Below are 15,442 nucleotides of genomic sequence, written 5' to 3'. Positions count from 1 at the left end.
TTACATTTCCCAATAACAAATGATGTTGAGAACCTTTATATGTTTATTTTCCAACTGCATAAAACATTTTTAGTAAAATATCTGTTCAGATCCTTTGTCTATTTTTTATTGGATTAATTTTGTATTAGGTTGATTTTTTTATTGTTGAGTTTTAAGAATTCCTTATGCATTCTAGATATGAATGCTTTATCAGATAAACGATTTACAAACATTTTCTCCCAGTCTGTGGCTGGTCTTTTCATTGTTTCAACAGTATCAAAAAAAGCAAAAGTTTTCCATTTTTGTAAAGTCCAATTTATGTATTTTTTTCTTTTGTGGATTGGGCTTTTGAAATTGTATCTAAAAATTTATAACCAAACCTAAGGTCATGAAGATATTCTAGATTTTTTTCTATAGGTTGTGTATTGTTATGTTTTACATGTAGACCATGATTTAATTTTTGTATAAGATGTAAAGTATATTAGGTTTGAGGTTCGTGTGATTTGGGTTTTTTTTTTTTTTTTTTTTTTGCAAATGGATGGTCATTTGTTTTAGGACCGCTTGTTCATTTCTGGCTTTTCTATTCTGTTCTATTGATGTGTGTATTTATCACTTCACCAGTCTCACACTATCATAATTACTATAATAGTCTTGAAATCAGGACACATGCATCTTCCGAGTATATTTTCCTTTTTAAGAGTTGCCTTGGCTATTCCTTTGGTTCTGTGTACATTACATAGATTGTATATATTTTAGAATCTACATATTGATACCTATTAAAAAGTTTCTTTGGATTTTTATTTGGGTTGTGTTGCATATATAATTTGGGAAACATGAACACCTTTCAAATATTAAGTCTTTCAATCCATGAACTTAGTATCTTTCTTCAGTCATTTAGATCTTCTTTGTTTCATTGGTATTGTATAGTTTTCTACATACAAATCTCCCACATATATTATAAGACTTATATCTAAGTACTCCTTTAGTGTTATTGTAAATGGTATTTTTTTAAATTTCAGATTCCAGTTTCTATTGGTGATGTATAAGAATAAAATTGACTTTTGTATATTAACCTTATATCCTGTGACCTTGCTAAACTCACTTATTAGTTCCAGGTAGGGGTGTGTGTGTGTGTGTGTGTGTGTGTGTGTGTGTTTCTTGCTTTCTGCTGTATATGCCTTTTATTCCTTTTTCTTGCCTTATTGAACTAGCTAGAACTTCTAAGATGATGTTAAGTAAATGTGTTAATTAAAAACACCTTTGCCTTTTTCTGTATTTTTATAGGGAAAGTATTCAGTCTCTCACCATGAAGTATGATGTTAGTTGGAAGTTTTTCATAAACATCTTTTATTAAGTTAAGGAAATTCCTTTCAACTTCTAGTTTGTATGAGTTTTTTAAAATTATGAGTAGATGTTGAATTTTGTTGAATGTTTGTTCTTCATTCACTGATATGTTTTTTCTTATCTAGTCTACTCATATAGTGAGTTGCACTGATTGATTTTGAATGCTGAACCAGCCCTATATTCCTGAGATGAGCCCAACTTCGTTGCGCAGTATTATCCTTTTTTATGGACTACTGGATTTTATTTGCTAATATTTTGTTAGGGATTTTCATGTCTGTGTTCATGAGAGATGTTGATCTGAAGTTTTCTTGTGAATATATGAGGAAAAGTGTGTATATATGTGTGTGTGTATCTATCTCTATAGATATAGAGATATATATACATACAGATAGATATATCTCTACCAGTCCATAGTTATGCATCAGCAAATTTTAATACAACAACTCAGAGTTCAGTCTAACCTTCCCCCTTTTTAAATATTAACTCTCTTCTCCTGGTTCTTATTATCCACAATGTATTTACTTACTTACACAATTTTATAATATACATAAAAGTACTTCATAATTGCTAACCCATATCTACTCACAAGAGCAGCATAGTACTTGTTTACAGTTCTTTTGGTCTTTACCCCAAAGGCGTGTAGTCAAAATACTGTGTTCACAGTTACCCCCCATCACTTTCAGTTTAGTCATGTTATCCGTTTAAAATATAGCTGGGTTTGGGAGAGGTTCCAAGATGGCCGAATAGGAACAGCTCCAGTCTACAGCTCCCAGCATGAGCGACGCAGAGTACAGGTGATTTCCGCATTTCCAACTGAGGTACCAGGTTCATCTCACTGGGACTTGATGGACAGTGGGTGCAGCCCACGGACCATGAGCCAAAGCAGGGCAGGGCATCACCTCACTCGGGAAGTGCAAGGGGTTGGGGAATTCCCTTTCCTAGCCAAAGGAAGCCATGACAGATGGTACCTGGAAAATCGGGACACTCCCACCCTAATACTGTGCTTTTCCAATGGTCTTAGCAAATGGCACACCAGGAAATTATATCCCGCACCTAGCTCGGAGGGTCCTATGCCCATGGAGCCTCGCTCACTGCTAGCAAAGCAGTCTGAGATCGAACTGCAAGGCAGCAGCAAGGCTGCGCAAGGGGCATCTGCCATTGCTGAGGCTTGAGTAGGTAAACAAAGCGGCTCAGAAGCTCGAACTGGGTGGAGCCCACTGCAGCTCAAGGAGGCCTGCCTACCACTGTAGACTCCACTTCTAGGGGCAGGGCATAGCTGAACAAAAGGCAGCAGAAACTTCTGCAGACTTAAATATCCCTGTCTGACAGCTTTGAAGAGAGTAGTGGTTCTCCCAGCATGGAGTTTGAGATCTGAGAACGGACAGACTGCCTCCTCAAGTGGATCCCTGACCCCAGGGGAGCCTAACTGGCAGGCACCTCCCAGTAGGGACCAACTGACACCTCATACGGCTGGGTGTCCCTCTAAGACAAAGCTTCCAGAGGAAGGATCAGGCAGCAACATTTGCCATTCTGCAATATTTGCTGTTCGGCAGCCTCCGCTGGTGATAACCAGGCAAAAAGGGTCTGGAGTGGACCTCCAAAAAGGGTCTGGAGTGGACCTCCAGCAAACTCCAACAGACCTGCAGCTGAGGGTCCTGACTGTTAGAAGGAAAACTAACAAACAGAAAGGACATCCACATCAAAACCCCATCTGTACATCACCATCATCAAAGACCAAAAGTAGATAACACCACAAAGATGGGGAGAAACCAGAGCAGAAAAGCTGAAAATTCTAAACATCAGAGCGCCTCTTCTCCTCCAAAGGAATGCAGCTCCTCGCCAGCGATGGAACAAAGCTGGATGGAGAATGACTCTGAGGAGTTGAGAGAAGAAGGCTTCAAACGGTCAGTAATAACAAACTTCTCCAAGCTAAAGGAGGATGTTTGAACCCATCGCAAAGAAGCTAAAAACCTTGAAAAAAGATTAGACCAATGGCTAACTAGAATAAACAGCTTAGAGAAGACCTTAAATGACCTGATGGAGCTGAAAACCTTGGCAAGAGAACCACGTGATGCATGCACAAGCTTCAGTAGCCAATTCGATCACGTGGAAGAAAGGGTATCAGTGATTGAAGATCAAATGAATGAAATGAAGAGAGAAGAGAAGTTTAGAGAAAAAATAGTAAAAAGAAATGAACAAAGCCTCCAAGAAATATGGGACTATGTGAAAAGACCAAATCTACTTCTGATTGGTGTACCTGAAAGTGATGGGGAGAATGGAACCAAGTTGGAAAACACTCTGCAGGATGTTATCCAGGAGAACGTCCCCAACCTAGCAAGGCAGGCCAACATTCAAATTCAGGAAATACAGAGAATGCCACAAAAATACTCCTCGAGAAGAGCAACTCCAAGACACATAATTGTCAGATTCACCAAAGTTGAAATGAGGGAAAAAATGTTAAGGGCAGAGAGACAGAAAGGTCGGGTTACCCACAAAGGGAAGCCCATCAGACTAACAGCTGATCTCTCTGCAGAAACTCTACAAGCCAGAAGAGAGTGGGGGCCAATATTCAACATTCTTAAAGTAAAGAATTTGCAACCCAGAATTTCATATCCAGCCAAACTAAGCTTCATAAGTGAAGGAGAAATAAAGTCCTTTACAGACAATCAAATGCTGAGAGATTCTGCCACCACCAGGCCTGCCTTACAAGAGCTCCTGAAGGAAGCACTAAACATGGAAAGGAATAACAGGTACCAGCCACTGCAAAAACATGCCAAATTGTAAAGACCATTGATGCTAGGAAGAAACTGCACCAACTAAGGAGCAAAATAACCAGCTAACATCATAATGACAGGATCAAATTCACAAGTAACAATATTAACCTTAAATGGAAATTGGCTAAATGCTCCAATTAAAAGACACAGACTGGCTAATTGGGTAGAGTCAAGAACTGTCAGTGTGCTGTATTCAGGAGACCCATCTCACATGCAGAGAAACAGATAGGCTCAAAATAAAGGGATGTAGGAAGATCTACCAAGCAAATGGAAAACAAAAAAAAAAGCAGGGGTTGCAATCCTCATCTCTGATAAAACAGACTTTAAACCAACAAAGATCAAAAGAGACAAAGAAGGCCATTACATAATGGTAAAGGGATCAATTCAACAAGAAGAGCTAACTATCCTAAATATATATGCACCCAATACAGGAGCACCCAGATTCATAAAGCAAGTCCTTAGAGACCTACAAAGGGACTTAGACTCCCACACAATAATAATGGCAGACTTTAACACTCCACTGTCAACATTAGACAGATCAACTAGACAGAAAGTTAACAAGGATATCCAGGAATTGAACTCAGCTCTGCACCAAGCGGACCTAATAGTCATCTACAGAACTCTCCACCCCAAATCAACAGAATATACATTCTTCTAAGCACCACATCACACTTATTCCAAAATTGACCACATAGTTGGAAGTAAAGCACTCCTCAGCAAAAGTAAAAGAAGAGAAATTATAACAAACCATCTCCCAGACCACAGTGCAATCAAACTAGAACTCAGGATTAAGAAACTCACTCAAAAGAGCTCAACTACATGGAAACTGAACAACCTGCTCCTGAAGGACTACTGGGTACATACTGAAATGAAGGCAGAAATAAAGTTCTTTGAAACCTATGAGAACAAAGACACAACATACCAGAATCTCTGGGACACATTTAAAGCAGTGTGTAGAGGGAAATTTATAGCACTAAATGCCCACAAGAGAAAGCAGGAAAGATCTAAAATTGACTCCCTAACATCACAATTAAAAGAACTAGAGAAGCAAGAGCAAACACAAGCAGAAGTCAAAAAATAACTAAAATCAGAGCAGAACTGAAGGAGATAGGGACACAAAAAAAACCTTCAAAAAATCAATGAATCCAGGAGGTGGTTTTTTGAAAAGATCAACAAAATTGATAGACCTCTAGCAAGACTAATGAAGAAAAGAGAGAAGAATCAAATAGACGCAATAAAAAATGATGAAGGGGATATCACCACTGATCCCACAGAAATACAAAAACCATCAGAGAATACTATTAACACCTCTATGCAAATAAACTAGAAAATCTAGAAGAAATGGATAAATTCCTGGATACATACACCCTCCCAAGACTAAACAAGGAAGAAATTGAATCTCTGAATAGACCAATAACAGGCTCTGAAATTGAGGCAATAATTAATAGCCAACCAACCAAAAAAAGTTCAGGACCAGACGGATTCACAGCTGAATTCTACCAGAGGTACAAAGACGACTTGATACCATTTCTTCTGAAACTATTCCAATCAAAAGAAAAAGAGGGAATCCTCCCTAACTCATTTTATGAGGCCAGCATCATCCTGATACCAAAGCCTGGCAGAGACACAACCAAAAAAGAATTTTAGACCAATATCCCTGATGAACATCAATGCAAAACTCCTCAATAAAATACTCGCAAACCAAATCCAGCAGCACATCAAAAAGCTTATCCACCACTATCAAGTTGGCTTCATACCTCGGATGCAAGGCTGGTTCAACATACACAAATCAATAAACGTAATCCATCATATAAACAGAACCAGAGACAAAAACCACATGATTATCTCAATAGATGCAGAAAAGGCCTTTGACAAAATTCAACAGCCCTTCATGCTAAAACCTCTCAATAAACTAGGTATTGATGGGACATATCTCAAAATAATAAGAGCTATTTATGACAAACCAACAGCCAATATCATACTGAATGGGCAAAAACTGGAAGCATTCCCTTTGAAAACTGGCACAAGACAGGGATGCCCTCTCTCACCACTCCTATTCAACATAGTGTTGGAAGCTCTGGCCAGGGCAATCAGGCAAGAGAAAGAAATAAAGGGTATTCAAGTAGGAAAAGAGGAAGTCAAATTGTCCCTGTCTGCAGATGACATGATTGTATATTTAGAAAACCCCATCGTCTTAGCTCAAATCTCCTTAAGCTGATAAGCAACTTCAGCAAAGTCTCAGGATACAAAATCAATGTGCAAAAATCACAAGCATTCTTATACACCAACAACAGACAAACAGAGAGCCAAATCATGAGTGAACTCCCATTCACAATTGCTTCAAAGAGTATAAAATACCTAGGAATCCAACTTACAAGGGATGTGAAGGACCTCTTCAAGGAGAACTACAAACCACTGCTCAACGAAACAAAAGGACACAAAAAAAGGAAGAACCTTCCATGCTCATGGGTAGGAAGAATCAATATTGTGAAAACGGCCATACTGCCCAAGGTAATTTATAGATTCAATGCCATCCCCATCAAGCTACCAATGATTTTCTTCACAGAATTGGAAAAAACTACTTTAAAGTTCATGTGGAACCAAAAAAGAGCCTGCATTGCCAAGACAATCCTAAGCCAAAAGAACAAAGCTGGAGGGATCACGCTACCTGACTTCAAACTATACTACAAGTCTACAGTAACCAAAACAGCATGGTACTGGTACCAAAACAGAGATATAGACCCATGGAACAGAACAGAGCCCTCAGAAATAATACCACACATCTACAACCATCTGATCTTTGACAAACCTGAGAAAAACAAGCAATGGGGAAAGGATTCCCTATTTAATAAATGGTGCTGGGAAAACTGGCTAGGCATATATAGAAAGCTGAAACTGGATCTCTTCCTTATGCCTTATACAAAAATTAATTCAAGATGGATTAAAGACTTAAATGTTAGACCTAAAACCATAAAAACCCTAGAAGAAAACCTAGGCAATACCATTCAGGACATAGGCATTGGCAAGGACTTCATGACTAAAACACCAAAAGCAATGGCAACAAAAGCCAAAATTGACAAATGGGATCTAATTAAACTGAAGAGCTTCTGCACAGCAAAAGAAACTACCATCAGAGTGAACAGACAACCTACAGAATGGCAGAAAATTTTTACAATCTACCTATCTGACAAAGGGCTAATATCCAGAATCTACAAAGAACTTAAACAAATTTACAAGAAAAAATCAACCCCATCAAAAAGTGGGTGAAGGATATGAACAGACACCTCTCAAAAGAAGACATTTATGCAGCCAACAGACACATGAAAAAATGCTCATCATCACTGGCCATCAGAGAAATGCAAATCAAAACCACAACGAGATACCATCTCACACCAGTTAGAATGGCAATCATTAAAAAGTCAGGAAACAACAGGTGCTGGAGAGGATGTGGAGAAATAGGAACACTTTTACACTGTTGGTGGGACTGTAAACTAGTTCAACCATTGTGGAAGACAGTGTGGTGATTCCTCAAGGATCTAGAACTAGAAATACCATTTGACCCAGACATCCCATTACTGGGTATATACCCAAAGGATTATAAATCATGCTGCTATAAAGACACATGCACATGTATGTTTATTGTGGCACTATTCACAATAGCAAAGACTTGGAACCAACCCGAATGTCCATCAATGATAGACTGGATTAAGAAAATGTGGCACATATACACCATGGAATACTATGCAGCCATAAAAAAGGATGAGTTCATGTCCTTTGTAGGGACATGGATGAAATTGGAAATCATCATTCTCAGTAAACTATCGCAAGGACAGAAAACCAAACACTGCATGTTCTCACTCATAGATGGGAATTGAACAATGAGAACCTTGGACACAGGAAGGGGAACATCACACACCAGGGCCTGTCGTTGAGTGGGGGGAGGGCGGAGGGATAGCATTAGGAGATATACCTAATGTAAATGACGAGTTCATGGGTGCAGCACACCAACATGGCACATGTTTACATATGTAACAAACCTGTACTTTGTGCACATGTACCCTAGAACTTATAGTATAATAAAATAAATAAATAATTAAAAATAAAATTAAAATATAGCTGAGTTCATTTTTGTGTTCTACTTTTTTTAATTCCCTGCCCTCGCTGATGTTTTATTTAAGTATCTTTTCTTTAAGTATGTGAAACATTAACATGGTTCTAACATTCAGAATATATTTTTAAACTATGTCAAAGAAGTGCCACTTCTTCATCATTTTTATCCTATTCTCATACTCTCACATTTTCTCCCCACATCTTACCCATCAGCTTTGGTAAGCAATCTCATTAGTTTCCAGTCTATTCTTCCTAAATTTCTTTCTTTTTTTTTTTTTTTTTTCACAAATAAGCAAAACATATATATTTTCTTATTCCCCTCCCCTACTTTTTATACAAAAGATGTATTATGGGATATATATTGTTCTATGTTTTGCTTTTTCATGTAACAATATATCCTGGAAATCACTTCAAGTCAGTCCATAGAACTCTTCCTTGTTATTTATTTTACTGCATCATTTTATCTTCTGTGGATGTAGCATAGCTTATTTAACCACTCTCCTATGTATGGCCACTTAGATTGTTTCACATATTTTGCAACTGCAAATAATGCTGCAATTAATAACTGCATATGCATTTTCACATTGTTAGCAATGTATCTTCAGGGTAAATTCTAGATGTTGGATTGCTGAGTCAAAAGGTAAGTGCATATGTGGTTTTGTTGATTCTCCAAGTTTCCCTCCAAAATGGTTATGTGAATGTATATTCCCATTTATGTTGCTTTTAAGAAGTCATTTTTCTCTTTATACATTCCCCCAACATCTGTAGTTGTTTTCATGGAAAGGTGGGTCTAAATAAACTATTTCAGCATTGTAGGGAATAATCCCTTGTGCATCACTCTTTTTTTCTTTTTTGTTTTTTTTTTCTTTTTGAGATAGAAAAGGCTCAAAAAGCCTTTTTGCCAGGCTGGAGTGCAGTGGCACGATCTCAGCTCACTGCAACCTCTGCCTCCCAGGGTTCAAGCAATTCTCCTACCTGAGACTCCTGAGTAGCTGGGACTACTGGCACGTGCCATCACACCCGGCTAATTTTTGTATTTTTAGTAGAGACGGGGTTTCACCATGTTGGCCAAGATGGTCTCGATCTCTTGACATCATGAACCGCCCACCTCGGCCTCCCAAAGTGCTGAGATTACAGGCATGGGCCATCATGCCCGGCTGTGCGTCACTCTTAAATATGAAATCAGTCAGTGACCACTGGATGTTTCAGGCAACATTCCACATGAAGGAGACAGAGACTTAAATGGCAAAAAAGAAAAGTGGAAGCGCAGATGAAACAAAGGCAATGAGGAATAGAAAATAATTTTTAAATCTTCTCATTAATATTCTGTATAAGAAAGGATATTTTGTCCACAAAGAAAAAAACCTTATTTTTTTTAAAAAAAGCAATGTGTGTATATATGTGACATAGAGATATATGTATATATACACACACACAAGCATGCATATATGTATTTCCTAACTCTGCCATCTGAGCAGGCTTAGAAGCAGTGATAGCTAGTAGTAATGAGCACACTAAATACCCAAATCTTGGTTTCCAAGTACCATTCTCCACTAAAACATTCAGGGCTGCTTCTAGGAGTGGGGAAAGTAAAGTACAAGACAATCCTCTAACATATTGTTATACTAGAAAGTAAGGAAATCCTTAAAGAATGATGGGAGAACATGTGAAAAAGGACACAGAAGCCAACTTCAAGGGGCACCCACTGGCTTCACTTGGGCAAAAATAAATAAATAGTGATGGTAATGGATTATAACCCGTAGAATAAGACAAGAATATATGAAGCCATGGTTATAAAAATAAAATGAACAGTTAGCTGGGCACAGGGATGTGGGCACGTAATCCCAGCTACTCAGGAGGCTGAGACATGAGAATCACTTGAACCTGGGAGGTGGAGGTTGCAGTGAGCTGAGATCACGCCACTGCCCTTCAGCCAGGGCGACAGAGTGAGACTCTGTCTCAATAAATAAATAAATAAATAAATAAACAAACAAACAAACAAACAAATATGTATTGAAGTAGAATTCCAATTAATAATTGTAGAAAGAATGATGAAATTGCAAAGCCAGGAATTGGCAACTATGAATCATCAGTGGATACCAGCTAAGGGGCAAAACTATGTTGTTGAAAACCAGGTTATTTACATAAGATTAAAGTATCTCCCCACGAAACCTAGAAGTGAAATAAGAAGGCTATTAAATTCTTAACTGATAGCAAAAAAGTTATAGGTCACCTGAATAAAAGTCTAACTTGAATTATAAAAACAGACAGTCACAACCCTTCAGTCAGTTCCCAGACTCACAGAGCCAGTGTACAGGCCCAGAACCACTTGAATGAAGAGGCTGAGTCTCCTTGAAGAAGGACCCCAGACACTGCCAAGAATTTATATTGTTAATCTTTTTCCCAGCCTTCCCTAAAAAGACCTATGGCCTTCTATCAGGGTAACTGTGCATGAGGGAAAGGAAATAATTAGACTTTCCAGAGACTACCAGACACTGGCTTTGAGCTGACACTAATTTCAGGTAACCCAATATGTCACTATACTCCACCAGTCAGAGTATAGGCTTAGGTCCAGTGATCAATGGAGTTTTAGCTCAAGTCCAACTCACAGTTGGCTCAGTGTGTCACTGAACCCATGCTGTGGTTGTGTCACAGGATCCTTGGGGTGTTGCTTCGCCAGCCAGAAACCTCTGTGGCTGGTGGTGCCTTTGCCCGAGTTTTGCTCAGGCCCACTGGGCTCATTCCACCCACTCAGCCTGGCAGGCTGCACTTGGCTTGTGCTACCAGCCCAGATTCCATGACTGCCAAAGGTGAGCCAGGCACAGAGTGGCAAGGGGTGTGTGAGTGAGCGTGGGGTCTGGCCACTGCACACAGCCAGGCATGCCGGCTGCAGTGAGGTGGGCAGGTCCAGGCACTGGCACAGGTGCCGGCTCCATGCGAGGCTGCAGTTGGACCAAGCGTACTGCAAGTGGCTTCCACTGTGGGCACCAGGGAACATGGTGGTGCCCAGAAGCTTGGAGATGCCAGGAACTGCAGAGCCCCAAAGAGGGTATCACAATACTGGCCCAAGGAGCTCCTAGGTCTGGGCTCCTTGATGTCCTGCAGCTCTTCTCTCATTCTTGTCACCTGCAACATGGCGAGTGATGGGGTGTGTTTCAGCCCTGTTTGTGTTACAGCTTTTTCAGTCCTGTCATTTGGCATGTCCCAAGTTCTTATCCTGCATCCAGGAAGAATGAGGGATGCAGAAAACTGGAGGGTAAGCAAAGCAAAGAGATTCTTTATTGAGCAACATTAAAGCTCTCAGGGGACCTGGAATGCATAGCTCCTATCTGCAGGCAAGTCATCCCAACGAGTGTCAGCTCTCAGCAGAGAGGAGACCCAGAGTGGGTAGCTCCTACCCACAGGGAGGGTCCTGACCAATGTGCAGCCCTCAGCAGAGAGGAGACCTGGAGTGGGTAGCTTCTATCTGCAGGCAGGTCATCATGTTGTCTCTGTGAGTATGACTGAGTCTAGGGTTTTTATAGGGTTCAGAAGGGAGGAAGTGCAGCTGATTTGTCCATGGGCAGCCATGGGTGGGCCCAGAAGAAGCACCATAAGTTCTCACTCCAGGCTGCAGACTGCACTCAGAACTGAAAGCCCAACCCCCATGATTCAGGTGGTCTCTGGCTTGAAGGGACTTCACCAGAGACCTGCCTCCTTCCGCCCAGGAGCCTGCCTGCCTCCTGCCACCATCTACACGTCATCCATGACACCCAGGCTGTTCGGGCCAAGGGGCACCTGCAGGCCTGTGCACACCCACCGTCAGCACCCCCTTGGCCTCCCTCCTGAGCTCGTTAGTGATCAACGTCTGGAGAAGGCTGAGGCGGCAGGGGGCTGGCGTGTCAGTGCCACCCCAAGTGTGTGCACACCTAGCCAGGTCAGACAGCATCCAGGGCTCAGCCAGAACTTTACTCCAAAATTGGAGCTGGCACCAGGAGCGGGGAGAGGCCAAGCCGCAGGACCAGGCACTTCTAAGCCTGTGGGGAAGGGGGGTTTCCTGGGCCCCAGAGAGTACAGGGATGCCCAGTATGCAGCCATGGCTGAGAGGCTGCAGCTGCACCAAGAAGGGCAGTGCTCTCACCTGCTAACTTGGAAGGGGGTGGGGCTTCCACCTGTTCCCGGGTCCCTGTGGCTCCATGGAGCATGCAGCCCTAGCTGGGCCTGCCCTGCTGCAGCCAGTGTCATGGCAGCAGCTGCTCTAGACAGGCTGCTGCTGCCATCAGGTGTACCTCTGTTCTGGAAGGCGTAATTGAAATAGATATACTCAGCAGTTGGCAGAATCCCCACATTAGTTCCCTAACCTGTGTAGTGAGGGTTATTATTGTGGGAAAGACCAAATGGAAGCCATTAGAGCTGACTTTAGCTAGGAAAATAGTAAATCAAAAACAATACCACATCTCTGGTGGGACTGCAGAGACGGTGCCACCATCAAGGACTTGAAAACTGCAGAGTGAAAGACTGCTGCCTGGCCACTGGGGATCTCCTTGCCTCTGAATCAATAGGCAAAAAGGGGAGTTACTGATCTGGCTACAGTGATTGATCCCGATTACTAAAGGGAATTTGGACTACTACTCCGCAATAGAGCTAAGGGAGAAAATGTCTGGAATACAGGAGATACCTTAGGGCTTCTTTAGTATGACCATGCCCTGTGATTAAGGTCAATGTAAAATTACAACAACCCAATACAGGCAGCACTGCTAATGGCCCAGACCCTTCAGGAATGAAGCCTTGGTTCACCCCACCAGGTAAAGAATCACAACCAGCCAAAGTGCTTGCTGAAGGCACAGGGAATACAGAATGGGTAGCGGTATTTGTAAGTAGTTACAAATACCAGCTACAATCATGTGATCAGTTACAGAAATGGGATTGTAATTATGAGTACTCCTCCTTATCTTGCTATGAATATGTTTGTGTGCATTAACATACATATACACATATATGCAAATACCTTTGCTTTATCCCCTTTCTAATTCCCTTATGTAACATAACATGAATTAACTTTATATCATAATATTTAAATGTAGTTAAGTATTTCAATTATAGTATTTAAGTTATGAGATATCAGGAGAAGGGTAAACATCATTCTAGGATTTTACCTCATCTTCTGGGGAAGGGGTTAGTGTGTTTCTGCTGGTATGCAGGATAGCTGTATCCTTTTAGGCAGAATTATCACTTTGTTATTATATTTATTTGGAAATAAGCATGGTTTGAGGAGATGTATATGGGTGCCCAGGTTGACAAGGGGCAGACTTGTGATGGTTAATTTTGTATATCAACTTGACTGGGCCATGAGATGCCCAATTATTTGGTTAAACATTATTTCTGGATGTGTCTGCGAGGATGTTTTTGGGTAAGATTAACATTTGAATTGATAGACTGAAGAAACAGATTGTCCTCCCAATCGTGGGTGAGCCTCATCCAATCCATTGAAGACCTGAATAGAATAAAAGGATGAGTAAGAAAGAATTCTTTCTCTCTGCCTGACTGACTTTGAGCTGGGACAATGGGCTTCTTCTCCCTTTGTACTCAACCAGACTCAGACTGGAACTTACACCATTGACTCTCCTGGGTCTCCAGTTTGACAACTGCAGATCTTGCAATTCTCAGCTTCCATAATCACATCAGTCAATTCCTTATGGCAGAGAGGGGTGTGTGTGTTTGTGTATTCCTGCTGGTTCTATCTGGAAAACCCAGACTAATATATATGTGAAACATAAAGCTTAAGTACCAGTGTGAATGCAAATGTAATAAATGAGTTGCATTTCCCTATAAAAAGACATACACTGTCATAATGGATTATTTTAACTTAGCCAGTTGTTTACAAGAACCACACTTAAAGCCAAGAGATAAAATAAGATTTAAAATAAATGGATATTCCTGTTCTAATATCCAGAAGATTAGTAAGAAACAAAGAAGGAATTAGATTGTGGACATAAAAAGAAGTGACTACTGATAAGGAAGAAACATGTTGGAGAAAAAAACAAGCTTTCAAGTCTGTAATTTTACATTTTTTTAACCACATGGGAACCAGTGGAAGTTGTGCTAGGGGCATTTTGTCATGTGCCTGCATGCAACTATAATTTTATTGTGATTTAAGAACAATTTTAAAATCCTGGCTCCCCTCCTATTAAACATAGTATTGGAAGTTCTGGCCATGGTTATCAAGCAAAAGAAAGAAATAAAGTGTATTCAGATAGGAAGAGAGGAAGTCAAATTATGTTTATCTGCCGATGACATGATCCTATATCTAGAAAACCCCATTGTCTCAGCCCAAAAGCTTCTTAAGCTGATAAGTAACTTCAGCAAAGTCTCAGGATACAAAAATCAATGTGCAAAAATCGCTAGCATTCCTATACATCAACAACAGACATGCAGAGAGCCAAATCATGAATAAACTCCCATTTATAATTGCTACAAACAGAGTATAATACTTAGGAATACACCTAACAAAGGAAGTGAAGGACCTCTTCAAGGAGAATGACAAACCGTTGCTCAAGGAAATCAGAGAGGACCCACAAAAAAAATGGGAAAACATTCCATGCTCATGGATAGGAAGAATTAATATCATGAAAATGGCCATAGTGCCCAAAGTAATTTATAGATTCAATGCTATTCCCATTTAACTACCATTGACATTCTTCATGGAGTTAGAAAAAAACTATTTTAAAATTCATATGGAACCAAAAAAGAGCCCGTATAGCCAGGTCAATCCTAAACAAAAAGAACAAAGCTGGGGGCATCACCCTACCTGACTTCAAAGTATACTACAAGGCTACAGTAAACAAAACAGCGTTGTACTGGTACAAAAACAGACAAATAGACCAATGGAACAGAATAAAACACTCATAAATAAGACTGCATACCTACAACCATCTGATCTTCGACATACCTGACAAAAACAAGCAATGGGGAAATGATTCCCTCTTTAATAAATATTGCTGAACGAACTGTCTAGCCATATGCAGAAAATTGAAACTGGAACCCCTCCTTATACCTTATACAAAAATTCACTCAAGATGGATTAAAGACTTAAATGTAAAACCCAAAGCAATACAAACCCTAGAAGAAACCCTAGGCAATACCATTCAGGATATAGGCATGGGCAAAGATTTCATGACAAAAACACCAAAAGCAATTACAACAAAAGCAAAAACTGACAAATGAGATCTAATTAAACTAAAGAGCTTCTTCACAGC

The 15,442-nt window shown here is 40.3% G+C and overlaps 1 annotated feature.

Moving 5' to 3' along the window:
* Positions 11,582 to 12,124: an enhancer, noted in NCBI's record as "H3K4me1 hESC enhancer chr8:57054775-57055317 (GRCh37/hg19 assembly coordinates)". NCBI's record gives its function as "activates a minimal SCP1, AML or CMV promoter by ChIP-STARR-seq in naive H9 embryonic stem cells {active_cell/tissue: H9 hESC(naive)}" and the evidence as "EXISTENCE:reporter gene assay evidence [ECO:0000049][PMID:30033119]".

The sequence above is a fragment of the Homo sapiens genome, chromosome 8 (genome assembly GCF_000001405.40).
Source record: "Homo sapiens chromosome 8, GRCh38.p14 Primary Assembly".
Taxonomy (NCBI): Eukaryota; Metazoa; Chordata; class Mammalia; order Primates; family Hominidae; genus Homo; species Homo sapiens.
The sequence above is the reverse complement of the archived record's forward strand: the minus strand, read 5'-3'. Positions and strand labels throughout refer to the sequence as shown.